The sequence below is a fragment of the Homo sapiens genome, chromosome 12 (genome assembly GCF_000001405.40).
Source record: "Homo sapiens chromosome 12, GRCh38.p14 Primary Assembly".
Lineage (NCBI taxonomy): Eukaryota > Metazoa > Chordata > Mammalia > Primates > Hominidae > Homo > Homo sapiens.
In genome coordinates, this window is record NC_000012.12 from 111,764,093 (window position 1) to 111,777,146 (window position 13,054).

At 49.3% G+C, this 13,054-nt stretch overlaps 1 protein-coding gene across 2 annotated transcripts in view, besides 4 other annotated features; it reads left to right on the top strand.

Annotated features, from left to right (window-relative positions):
- Positions 2,300 to 3,069: an enhancer, noted in NCBI's record as "H3K27ac hESC enhancer chr12:112204196-112204965 (GRCh37/hg19 assembly coordinates)". NCBI's record gives its function as "activates a minimal SCP1, AML or CMV promoter by ChIP-STARR-seq in primed H9 embryonic stem cells {active_cell/tissue: H9 hESC(primed)}" and the evidence as "EXISTENCE:reporter gene assay evidence [ECO:0000049][PMID:30033119]".
- Positions 2,529 to 2,848: a silencer, noted in NCBI's record as "silent region_4875". NCBI's record gives its function as "represses an Ori minimal core promoter by ATAC-STARR-seq in GM12878 lymphoblastoid cells {active_cell/tissue: GM12878}" and the evidence as "EXISTENCE:reporter gene assay evidence [ECO:0000049][PMID:35858748]".
- The window catches only part of ALDH2 (aldehyde dehydrogenase 2 family member), a 50,600-nt gene continuing 40,386 nt past the window's right edge, over positions 2,841 to 13,054 (top strand). For both annotated transcript variants that reach the window (NM_000690.4, NM_001204889.2), the window contains exon 1: positions 2,841 to 3,004. In NM_000690.4, the coding sequence (NP_000681.2) occupies positions 2,891 to 3,004 (114 nt within the window). In that variant the 5' untranslated portion in view covers positions 2,841 to 2,890. The remainder of the gene's footprint in view (positions 3,005 to 13,054) is intronic.
- Positions 9,041 to 9,612: an enhancer, noted in NCBI's record as "H3K4me1 hESC enhancer chr12:112210937-112211508 (GRCh37/hg19 assembly coordinates)". NCBI's record gives its function as "activates a minimal SCP1, AML or CMV promoter by ChIP-STARR-seq in primed H9 embryonic stem cells {active_cell/tissue: H9 hESC(primed)}" and the evidence as "EXISTENCE:reporter gene assay evidence [ECO:0000049][PMID:30033119]".
- Positions 11,316 to 11,505: an enhancer, noted in NCBI's record as "active region_7039". NCBI's record gives its function as "activates an Ori minimal core promoter by ATAC-STARR-seq in GM12878 lymphoblastoid cells {active_cell/tissue: GM12878}" and the evidence as "EXISTENCE:reporter gene assay evidence [ECO:0000049][PMID:35858748]".

A 13,054-nucleotide genomic window follows, 5' to 3' on the forward strand; every position in this document is an offset into this window, starting at 1 on the left:
GGTGGCATGCACCTGTAATCACAACTACTCAGGAGGCTGAGGTGGGAGGATCAATTGAGCCTGGGAGGTCGAGGCTGCAGCGAGTTGTGATTGTGCTACTGCACTCCAGCCTGGGTGACAGCGAGACCCTGGTCTTGGGGAAAAAAAACAAGAAGACTTAGAAAGCTACAGTGATGAAAACAGTGTCATACTGGCACACGCATACAGAGATCAATGACACAGAATATACAGTAGTTCAGAAATAGCTACTTACAGTTACTTAGTAGTAAAAAGATGACTGGCAGGATGTATTTGTGCCATATATGATAGACAAAATGTTAATTGCCTGGATACATATAAAGCACCTACAAATCAATTTCAGAAAGACCAACAATCCAATAGAAAAGTGAGCCAGAGACATGAGCAGCTAGTTCATAGCAGAGGAAACATGCATGACTTCATCTAGGCAGAGATGCTCAAGCTCACTCGTAAAAGAGAAGCAAATTAATGTGGTAGTGAAATGCCACTTTTTCGTCTCTCAGATTAGCAAAGCTAAAAAAAAAATCCTGAAACTTCTACTGGTGAGGGTGTAAGGAAACTCAGACATGACAGGTAGTGGGGCATAAATTAAACTTCTTTGGAGGGTAATATATCTGTATTTAAATTGTAAATATTCTTTGTTCCATTTCTACTAATTTCTTTCTTTTCTTTTCTTTCTTTTTTTTTTCTTTTTTTTTTTCTTTTTTTTTTTTTTTTGAGACGTAGTCTCACTCTATCACCCAGGCTGGAGTTCAGTGGCACGATCTCAGCTCTTGGCTCACTGCAACCTCTGTCTCCCAGATTCAAGCAATCTCCTGCCTCACCTTCTGGAGTAGCTGGGATTACAGGCACTGCGACCATTCCTGGCTAATTGTGTGTGTGTGTGTGTGTGTGTGTGTGTGTGTGTGTGTGTGTGTGTGTGTGTGTTTAGTAGAGATGGGGTTTCACCATGTTGGCCAGGCTGGTCTCGAACTCCTCACCTCAAGTGATCTACCCGCCTCAGCTTCCCCCCCAGAGTGCTGAGATTACAGGCACGAGTCATGGTGCCAGCCTCATTTCTATTAATTTCTTAAGCAAATCAAGAGCATACATTGTGGCATTGTTTGTAGTGGCAAAAGATTGGAAACAACCTAAATGTCCATCATAGGAAATTCATGAAATAAAACTACCTCATGTATCCAGAGGAATACCATGAAACTGTTGAAGAGAATGGGGACATAGTCCTTGTGTGCTGTGACAAAACGATCTCCACACACAGTATTAAGGGAAAAAAAGTACCTGGCACGGTGGCTCATGCCTGTAATCCCAGAACTTTGGGAGGCCGAGGTGGGCGGATCACCTAAGGTCAGGAGTTCGAGACCAGCTTGACCAATATGATGAAACCCCATCTCTACTAAAAATACAAAAATTAACCAAGTGTGGTGGCATGCGCCTGTAATCCCAGCCACTTGGGAGGCTGAGACAGGAGAATCGCTAGAACCTGGGAGGTGGAAGTTGCAGTGAGCCCACATGGTGCCAGCCTGGGCAACAAGAGTGAAACCCCATCTAAAAAAAAAAAGCAAGGCGCCATTGGGAAGGGGAAGTGGGGCCTGCATGGCTGAATTCAGAGAAGGAAGGGAGTCTTGGTTATCAGATTATCTCTGCAGCTGATCTCCAAACCTATTTCCCTTCTTCCTGGCACAGGGGCCACTCATTTCCCAGACTCTTTTGCATGGAGGCATGGTTGTGTGATTGAAATCCAGCCAGGCGAGCAGGCTCAGCCCACAGAAACCTCCCATGGGCCACCCCCATGCCTTTTCTTCCTCTGGTTTGTGTGGAATGGTGCTGAGCCCCCAGGGCGACTTTGGTGGAATCTGGTGTTGAAATCAGAGTCCCACCGCCGGGCGCGGTGGCTCACGCCTGTAATCCCAGCACTTTGGGAGGCCGAGGCAGGCGGATCATGAGGTGAGGAGATCGAGACCATCCTGGCTAACACGGTGAAACCCCGTCTCTACTGAAAATACAAAAAATTAGCCGGGCGTGGTGGCAGGCGCCTGTGGTCCCAGCTACTCCGGAGGCGGAGGCAGGAGACTGGTGTGAACCCGGGAGGCAGAGCTTGCAGTGAGCCGAGATCGTGCCACTGCACTCCAGCCTAGGCGACACAGTGAGACTCCGTCTCAAAAAAAAAAAAAAAAAAAAGAATAAGCAAATCATGCAAATCATCCTGTTCTAAACTCTGAACCGCTGCTTCCAAGACCGTCCCTGCCCTTGCCCTGGCCGCCTCTCTCCTTGTTAACTGGGCTCCATTCATTCTTTCCATTTCTCTAACACGTGCCAGGTGGTCTCATCTCCTGGCCTTTGCCCTTGCTGTTCCCTGTCATCATTCAGGTCTCACTTGTCATTTCCTGACCATGGTACTTATAAAAGCAGTGCCGTCTGCCCCATCCATGTCACCTCGTTCATCTCCTTCACCTCCGAAATGATCTCGCTTTTGGGTTTACGGCCGGTCTCTTCACCTGGAGCATCAGCCGGGAAGGTCAGGGTCGCCCTGGCTCGGGCCTGTTCACATTGGGGTCAAAGGCACACATTGGGGGCTCAACCAAGGCGAGCTGCGTTCGCGGGGCCGGGTCTTTCCGCACAGGCGGAGGGCGGTGGCGGGCGCGGAGGCGTCGCGCGAGCCAGGGGGCAGCCACGGGCCGGGGGTACCTAGCGCCACCCGCTTCGCTTGCATCAGCTGCGCGCCCCATCCCGAGGAATGGTAGAGGCAGCCCCGCCCCCGGCCCGCCCCCGCCTTTCCATTGGCTGCCGCGCGGGGCGGGGAGCGGGGTCGGCTCAGTGGCCCTGAGACCCTAGCTCTGCTCTCGGTCCGCTCGCTGTCCGCTAGCCCGCTGCGATGTTGCGCGCTGCCGCCCGCTTCGGGCCCCGCCTGGGCCGCCGCCTCTTGTCAGCCGCCGCCACCCAGGCCGTGCCTGCCCCCAACCAGCAGCCCGAGGTCTTCTGCAACCAGGTGAGCCCACCGGCCGGGCTCGCGCTTTGTTTTCCGGCCCGAGTCCCCCGCAGGCCCCTAGGAAGGCCCCGCGCCGCCGTGGGCCTTAGTGTACTCATCTGGGGCTCGAGGGGTTTGCAGAGGCTGACCTGGAAGCACATCTGCCCCCTCCTCTCCTGCAAGCATTTTAGCCCCTTCGCCGCCTCTGACAGTCCCCGTCCCATTTCCCCGTGACTTGGGCCCCCTCTCCGTCTTCGCCCAGCCTCGGTCTGTTTTCCAGGGCCAACTCTCGGGGTTCCGTTCTCCCCATGGTCCTTGCTTTCGGGTCTCCGCAGGGTCCCCACCCTCACCCACTCAGAAGACGCGACCAAGTCCCTCTTTGCAGGAACTTTCCTGTCTTTTCCTTAGTCATCCCCTTTACCCCCTGACTCATGCCCTCATCCAAGGAGTTCAAAAGGAAAAACCAGGAAAGAGGTGATTTGCAGCCACGTTCTCCAGTTCACCATGGGCGAGGCCACGCTCGGCTGCTTCCATTGCTGGGAGTAGGGAATCCTGGAGGACCTTCGGCCCCAGGGGGCCGACCCCAAGGGGTGTCTGCGGCTTCCAACGCCGGCTTCGACCAAACCAAGGAGGAGCTTTCCAGGATAAAACTGATTCCTGTGGTCCATTTATTGATTGCTCAATCAGTAATACTTTGGAATATTTTTTGTTTTGATCTTTGAGTTTGGTTAAAGTTCTAGACTTCACAGAGGCTGAAATTGGTTATGAAAGAGTTTGTTTTGTTTGTGCCAGTGCATGTTGGCTGCCTTCTCTGACTTAAGCTTTTTCTCCTATAAATGGAAAGGCGCTCTGAGGGTTAGGTTCACACAGGCCCTCATCAACCAGTCACTTCATAGTTAATCACAGCTCCTGTCCTGTCTGCACAGCCTTTGTGCAGCACTGTTCTAAGCGTCTACCTGTTTTGCAATTTAAGGTAATTTTTACAACAGCCTCAGTAGGAAGGGACTGTAATTCTCCATTTTACAGATGAAGAGACTGAGTCACAAAGAGGTTTAGTGACTCACCTAAAGACCAAAGTCAGTGGCATAGTTGGGGTTCACAGCTGAACTTCCAGGAGTAAGCCCCTAACCAGAACATTCCATGGTATGTTGTGACTCTGGGTGGGAACAAAGGGACCACCGATCCTCTGGGACTATTGCTGATTTGGGATGCTGTAGAGCTGGCTCCTAGCCAGCTGCTTTCAACAGCACACCTGCTGGTCTGGCCCTGAGTGTGGCTGCAAATCTGGATATAGGTGATGGGTAAAGGCACATGCGTGTGATTTTAGGGGATGTTACAAAGGTCATTTGCAAGGGAATTTTTAAAAGGATAAAATAAAATCTTTTGCATAACACAAGCTAAAAAGGCAGCAGCTATGGCTCCCTTGGCAGCCTGTGCAAGTTCATGCTTGGAAGACTTGAGCATCAAAAGATCTAGCAGAGGCCAGGTGCAGTAGCTCATGCCTGTAAATCCCAGCATTTTGGGAGGCCGAGGTGGGATGATCCGTTGAGCCTAGGATTTCGAGACCAGCCTGGGCAACATAGCAAGACCCTGTCTCTAGTCTCTACTAAAAAAGTAAATTAGTTAGGTGCGGTGGCACATGCCTGTAGTCCCAGCTATATGGGAGGCTGAGGTGGGATGATCCCTTGAGCCTAGGATTTCGAGACCAGCCTGGGCAACATAGCAAGACCCTGTGTCTAGTCTCTACTAAAAAAGTAAATTAGTCAGGTGCGGTGGCACATGCCTGTAGTCCCAGCTATATGGGAGGCCGAGGTGGGAGGATCACTTGAGCCTAGGAGTTCGAGGCTGCAGTGAGCTATGATTGGGCCACTACACTTAGTCTGAGCAACAGAACAAGACCCTGTCTCAGAAATGTCCTCAAGGAACAGCCATCGCCCTAGGAACCCTTCTGGCCACAGGATCTGATTAAAATCTTTATCCTTTATCACATGCAGATGAGGCAGCTGGGTCCAGATATGCACCCAGGCCCATAGGTAACACATCCTGTTCTCCAGATTTACTCTGTGGGTGTAGGCTGGAGGAGCCGAGTCAATTCCCTGTGGCTGCTTTTCTTTATCAGACTTTTTGAGATCATTAAAGTAACACATGCCCACTGTATAAAATTGCAGAGGACTGACTTACAACTCTCTGGACATGGTCAGTCAAGGTGATTCATGCCTGTAATTCCAGCACTTTGGGATGCCAAGGTGGGAAGATCGCTTGAGATTAGATGTAAGGCTGCAGTGAACTATGATTGTGCCACTGCACTCCAGCCTGGGCAATGGAGCAAGAACCCATCTCTTAAAAAATAAATAAATAAATAAACCTCTCTGGATACCCCATTTTACTCCCTCCAAGAGCACTGTGAACAGGTGGGTGTGTCTCTTGTAGACATTTTGTTTGCATTTACAAGTGCCTGCAGCAAGAGAGAGAGAGAGAGAATGCAAGCACACCAGACTTTTTTTTTTTTTTAACATAAATGAGATGCAACCACTTATATTCTGAAGCTCGCCGTCTCACTGAACAATGTACCTGGGTTATCATTCTGAGTACGTTCAGATCTCATTTAACCCTTTCCAAGGACCACAGAGCATTCTACTCTGGTGGCGCCGTGCTGGAACTGGACCTCTTAGAGCCCCCTGGGCTGTTTGCAGTGTGGCCTTATTGCTGACTCAGCAGGGAAGAGGGATGGTGCATACAGCAGTGGACTCTGCACCTCAGCTGCCTCATCTGTAAAATGGGGTAAAATGGCTGGGTGCAGTGGCTCACACCTGTAATCCCAGCATTTTGCAAGACTGAAGCAGGCGGATCACGAGGTCAGGAGTTCGAGACTAGCCTGGCCAACATAGTGAAACCCTGTCTCTACTGAAAATACAAAAATTAGCTGGGCATGGTGGCGCGCACCTGTAATCCCAGCTACTTGGGAGGCTGAGGCAGGAGCATCACTTGAACCTGGGAGGCAGAGGTTGCAGTGAGCCGAGATCACACTACTGCATTCCAGCCTGGGTGACAGAGCGAGACTCCATCTCAAAAAAAAAAAAAAATGTGGGGGGTAAAATTCCATCTGCATCACCGAATTGCTGTGAGGACCAAATGGGGTGAGGCTTCTGCAGCCACAGGCAGTGCTGGCTTCATGGCCACTGGTGCCTCCATATTGACTGCAGCCTTAAGCAGGAGCTGGGATAACAGTGACGCTGTGGACTTGCAGTGTCTTGGTGATCAAACTCCATTTGATATGGATGCTGTTGTATTTGCAGTTTGTTTCCTGAAGGGGTGAGCTAGATTGTGGTAAAGTAGAATGGGAGTTTGGGGTGAATTAAAACTTGCATCTTTATTCTTACCCTCTCTTTCTGTTTTTGTTTTTGTTTTGAGACAGGGTCTCTCACTGTTGCCCAGGCTGGAGTGTAGTAGTGCTCACTGCAGCCTCAACCTCCCAGGCTCAGTCAACAAGTTATCCTCCTACTTCAGTCTTCCAAGTAGCTGAGACTACAGGCATACCCCACCACACCTGACTAATTTTTGTATTTTTTATTTTATTTTATTTATTTGAGACAGACTCTTGCTCTGTTGCCCAGGGTGGAGTGCAGTGGTGTGATCTTGGCTCACTCTAACCTCCACCTCCTGGGTTCAAGCGATTCTCCTGCTTGAGCCTCCTGAGTAGCTAGGATTACAGGTGCCCACCACCACGCCTGGCTAATTTTTTTGTATTCTTAGTAGAGATGAGGTTTCGCCATGTTGGCCAGGCTGGCTGGTCTTGAACTCCTGGCCTCAGGTGATCCACCTGCCCTGGCCTCCCAAAGTGCTGGGATTAAGGCACTGCAGCCAGCCAATTTTTTATAATTTTTATAGAGATGGGGTTTTGCCATGTTGCCCAGGCTGGGTCTTGAACTTCTAGGCTCAAGCAATCTTCCCTCCTTGGCCTCCCAAAGTGCTGGGATTACAGTGTGAAGCACTGAACTAAAGAGAGAACTGACAGGCAATTAAGGATGGATTTCCCAAGGCTAGGTGTGGTGGCTCACAGCTGTAATCCCAGCACTTTCAGAGGCTAAGGTGGGAAGATTGCTTAACCCCAGGAGTTCGAGACCAGCCTGGGCAACATAGCAAAACTCCATCTCTACAAAAGCTTAAAAAAATTAGCTGGACATGGTGGTGAGCACCTGTAGTCACAGCTACTTGGGCGGCTGAGGCAGGAGGATTGCTTGAGCCAAGGAGTTTGAGGCTTCAGTGAGCTTTGATCTTGCCACTGCACTCCATCCTGGGCAACACTGCAAGTATACATAGGCACCATACAGAAATGTTCATTGCAACTTCTTTTATGTCAGTAAAAGCTTAGGAAATAAGCCAGCTCGAGCTCCATTGGGAAATAGATGAACACCTATGTTACAGTTATAGGAGGAAATAATCCTCTGCATGTAGCAGTTACAAATCATTGGCTCAACCTGTACAAATAATGTATCTCAAAAACAATATGTCAAGGAGGAAAAATGTCCAGCACTCTACACCATATGAAACCATGAAAACTGTACAAAACTTTATGTTGTATGTAGATAGACAGATCTCCATAAAAAATGTGTAAGAATGTGCTGGAAGGAAAATTCTCCTTGGTGTGAGGGTGGTTACTGCCTGAGTGGGCAGGACAGGATAAGGGTAGTGATGAACGAGGACTCTGGCTTCATTTAAATGTTTGATTTCTTTAAAAATTGGCCAGGCACGGTGGCTCACGCCTGTAATCTCCGCACTTTGGGAGGCTGAGGCGGGCAGATTGCTTGAGCACAGGAGTTCGAGACCAGCCTGACCAACATGGTGAAACCCTGACTCTGCTAAAAATACAAAAATTAGCTAGGCCTGGTAGCCCACGCTTGTAATCCCAGCTACTCCGGAGGCTGAGGCATGAGAATCACTTTAACCCGGGAGGCAGAGGTTGCAGTGAGCCGAGATCGCACCACTGTACTCCAGCCTGGGTGACAGAGTGACACTTCGTCTGAAAAAAAACTCCCCAAAAAACAAAAAAAACTTAATACCCCATGAGCAGATATTAAAAGAAAAAAGAAAAAATATAATGGTCCCCTGATGTGCCACCCCTGCAGATAATCACTGTTAACGGTATATCTGAAGCAGAAATTTGCTTTTTCTTGTTTGCCTGGGAGATTCTTACAGAATGAGCCAAAACCTGTGTTTTGGAGTGACTTTGTGCTGACTGAATCTCCCTATTGATTGTACAGGTTGATGACTTCTTTAGGAGTGTCCTTTGTTTTTGTTTTTGTTTTTGAGATGTAGTCTCACTCTGTCGCCCGGGCTGGAGTGCAGTGGCACGATCACGGCTCACTGCAACCTCTGCCTCCCGGGTTCAAGCGATTCTCCTGCCTCAGCCTCCTGAGTAGCTGGGATTACGGGTGCCGCCACCATGCCCAGCTAATTTTGTATTTTTAGTAGAGTTGGGGTTTCACCATGTTGGCCAGGCTAGTCTCAAACTCCTGACCTTGTGATCCACCCGCCTTGGCCTCCCAAAGTGCTGGGATTACAGGCGTGAGCCACTGCACCTGGCCTCTTTTTTTTTTGGTTTTTTTTTTTTTTTTTGAGACAGGGTCTTGCTCTGTTGCCCAGGCTGGAGTGCAATGGCATGATCATAACTCACTGCAACCTCAAACTCTTGGGCTGAAGCGATCCTCCTGCGTCAGCCACTAGAGGCACTGGGATTATAGGCATGGGCCACAACATCCAGCTAGGAGTTTTAAGAGCCTCTATAGAAATAGATTTAGGTGGCCGGGCATGGCAGCTCATGCCCTGGCATAAGAGTGAGGCCTAGTGACAGAGTGAGACTCCGTCTCAAAAAAAAAAAACAAAAAGAAATAGATTTAGGCAGGCTGGGTGTGGTGGCTCATGCCTGTAATCCCAGCACCTTGGGAGGCCGAGGCAGGCGGATCACCTCAGGTGGAGACCAGCCTGACCAATATGATGAAACCCCGTCTCTACTAAAAATACAAAAATTGGCCGGTGTGGTGGCATGTACCTGTAATCCCAGCTACCTGGGAGGCTGAGACAGGAGAAACGCTTGAACCCAGGAGGCGGAGGTTGTGGTGGGGCCCAGTGACACCGCCCGCCTCAGCCTCCCAAAGTGCTGGGATTACAGGCATGAGCCACCGTGGCCGGCCCGTGTTTTTAATCAGAGAACACAAATGGGCATTCAATACTTCCTGCCTGCCCAGAATCTGTGGGACACACTTGAGTTTCAGGTGACAGGGCTATAATAATGTTTGTGCTCCTGAGGTCAAGCTGAGTTGAGAATTTACATGTTGTGGACATGTGTATGTATTCCCTGCTCCAGTAATCATGATTATTCATCACCTATTTTCCATCAGGCCCTCTACTGAGGACTTCTACCTGCATTTCACCTTTCATCCTACCCGCAACTCTATAAGCCTGGTAGTATTGCTGTCCCGTCTTGCGGGTGAGGAAACTGAGGCTCAGGGAGGTCAAGTTCACATTAAGTATAACTAAGGGCATGTGTGTGAAGGTTGGGCAGGGCAGAATTTGAAGCCCACTTTCAAACTTATAACTTAATGTGAACTTGACCTCCCTGAATAATGATCAGACCATAAGAATGTATTAATAAACATTTAAGGGACAATTGAATAGAATTTTAAAATCAGAGAGGAGGAGCCATGTTTGTATTGTTCACTTTTGCATTCCTGGCACCTAGCACCTTAGCATAGGATCACTGTTGGGTAAATATTTATTGAATAATGAATGGTTGCCATTTACGAAACCATGTTTACAGTTTTGTGCTCCAGAAGTGAGGTAAAGGGTTGCTTAATGAGAACCCAGTATTTCTACTCAAAAGGACCTTATTGCAAAGTATTTGGAAGTTTAAAAGAGTGGGAACATGGGGACGCATAGGGAGTGGTGAAACTGGCTCAGGGAAAGTCCATTGCAGCAAGATAGAGGTTGCCAAACCGTAAGCAGAACAAGTTGAAACCGCGCCTGTCTGGCAAACAGTCCAAAGTGGAATTGAAACTCCCATCTTTGAAGTGGTGAAAAAAGGCCCTGGGGTGGGGGAGTGGGGCAGAGGGCTGGCGTCTGTCTGCCTGGGTTAGTCTTGGTTCGGGAGTGTCCCGAGCAAGCCTGGGGAGATGACTGCCCCTCGCCTTGATCCCCAACTAACCTGGGGTTCTGGATTATGTGTGGGGAAGAGGGAATGTGTGTGGCATTCCGTGTTTGTCTTGAACTTTACTCCCTGGAATCTTGTAATACAAGCAATGGCATCTGCTTTCCATCGGACATAATCACCTAACCGCAGATTAGCAAGTGAAAGAGCACATGCCGTTGGGATCATCCCAGGCTGCAAAACCGCGCCATTAGCTTGCTCACTCTTTGGGAAAATACGGTGTTCCAGGGACGGGGATTTCCTAGGTAACATGTCCAGTTCTCTCATGCATCAAAGCTTGAACTGAAATCTTTCTAGAATGTATCCTGCCTCCTTAAATCAGAACTACTGAACACAGTTTAGCCTTTCATTGGAGACCCTGGGCAGATGATTACTGAACACAGTTTAGCCTTTCATTGGAGACCCTGGGCAGATGATAACCACCCATTGTCATGAGGTCTGGGGGTGGTGGCCAGAATTTCATTCTCTCCTGGCCTTGGTCTGACCTCCGCCCCCAAGGTCCAGTTGTCCTGCTCTGGGCACTGACCCTGCCCCAGCTCCTGAGCCCCTCGACCACCACAATCACCACTAAGTCTCTGCCTGGCATGGAGAACAAGATAGCCAAGGTGAAGAGGGATCCTGTTACCCTCTAACTCAGTAGTTCTAATTTCTACACAGTAATCTGCCCCATGTTTGGAAAAACGCATGTGAAAGGGTTCGCCACAGCTGTTGCTGGAATGGCGATCACTTGTCCTAAAAGTGCATTTGTAGGAAATCGTTAAATAAACCATGGCCTGACCGTGTTGAGGAACGCTATGTGGCTTAACATGAGGCAGAGCTGCCTGTGGAATAACGTCCAAGAGAAACTGAGAAAAGCGAGTTAGCAAACAGCAAGTCTATTACCCCCACTTAGAAAGGACACGGCAGTGTCCCGGTTCTCTGGTCTCCTGGGTCCTCCCAGCATCAAGTGCAGATCCTGGCACACAGCAGGTAGAATCGCGAGCCCCCCGCTCTCCCCTCACCTACACCCTGCAGCCACTCCTCCTGTCCCCAGGCTCTTCCTAGCAGTCACCCTTCAGACCCCTCAGCTGGCCAAGCCTCCTCCTGCTTCTCACTTGCTTGGTTTTGCTTGTTTCCTGCGCCCTCTCCTCACCAGGACTTCAGCTCCCACAAGCCAGGACTTGGCTCTTGGACTCCCTGTGCTGGAGTGGCCAGGGCTGTCAGTGAAAGCTTATGGAATGCGTGGGTGAATGAATCCAATTTTTACAAAACAAAGTGAGATGTATTTATTAAAATATGTAGGAATTAGAGTATTTTGATAGAAAATCTTTATGTTTTGCCTACAGTCTAGATTGAAAATGTCAACTCCAGACATCACTGTGCTTCTGGAAACTATAAAGAGGAAGTGGGAGCTAGGACATCCCCCCACCACGCCCCGCCCAAGAGCGTTTACGTGTGTTATGTAAGTCGAGCTTCGGGTTTCTGGTCAGGAGGTTATAAAGCATTTGGCCCAGAGTCTGGCCTGGTGTTTATTCAGGAAAACTGCTCCTCACTTGAAGCAGAACTTTGGCAGAAACTCAGTGTGAGAACAGTTCCTACCCAGCCCCCCACCGGGGAGGGAAGCCACTGAGTCTGGCTCTGGGAGAAGGGAAATGGGAAATGTAAACCGGAGGAGGTTTCCAGCGTCCTACAGCAGACCCAGGTTTATCTTATCAGTGGAGAAGGGAGGATGGGTTGTTGAAAATGCAGCCTGGTTCAACAGTGAAGGGTGATTGAGAACATTCTGGGCTTTGAAAGGCAAACATGCCAGGGAGTGGTCTTTCCAGGATCCTAATCTAAATCAGAGGGGCCAGCCCAGCGAGGAAGGGGTGGGGCTGGTGGGGTTTTAGCCAGACTGGCCCACCTCTCCCCTTCCTACTTCCTGATCTTTGCAAAATAAAGTTTAAAATCCAGGACAATTTAGTATGCTTTGGTGCAGGGAACAACATAAAGAGTATAGACCTGGCCCTCGCTCCTAAGAATCTTTAAGCTACGAGAGAGCTGCAGGATCTAGAACACTGCAGGACCCCCTGCGGGCAAGGTCCTAGCTTAGGAACTGTACACTCGTTCTTGCATTTAACCTTCACATCAGCCCCCAGAAGTACTCGATGAGGCATCTGGGAAGTGAAGGGATTTGCCCAGGGTCAAATCTGTGAGGGATGGAGTCAGAATTCAAACCCAGGCCGGGCATGGTGGCGCACAGCTGTAATCCCAGCACTTTAGGAGTCCAAGGCAGGAGGATCACTTGAGCACAGGAGTTTGGGACCAGCCTGGCCAACATGGTGAAAGCCCATCTCTACAAAAAATACAAAAAAAATCCCACCTTTATTTAAGAAAAAAAATTCAAACCCAGATCTGTTTGGCTTTGAGGTTGGTGCTTTTTACAACATTCAGAATAAAATTTTTTTTTTTTTTGAGACTCTGTTGCCCAGGCTGGAGTACAGTGGTGCAATCTTGGTTCACTGCAACCTCCATCTCCTAGGTTCAAGCAATTCTCCTGCCTCAGCCTGTCGAGTAGCTGGGATTACAGGCAAGTGACACCATGCCCAGCTAATTTTTGCATTTTTAGTAGAGACAGGGTTTCACCATGTTGTCCAGGCTGGTCTCGAACTCCTGACCTCAAATGATCCACCTGCCTTGGCCTCCCAAAGTGCTGGGATTACAGGGATGAGCCACTGTGCCTGGCTCAGAATCAAAATGTGAAATCAACGTGTGTTGAGTCAGTAAGTAAACCATAAAGATGGAGATTTGGGAATCAGAATTCCAACCTCCTTGAAGGCAGACCTGGGCTATGGCTGGAGGTTGGAGTTGGGAAAAACACAGGCCTTGGAGTCCCAAAGACCTGGCTT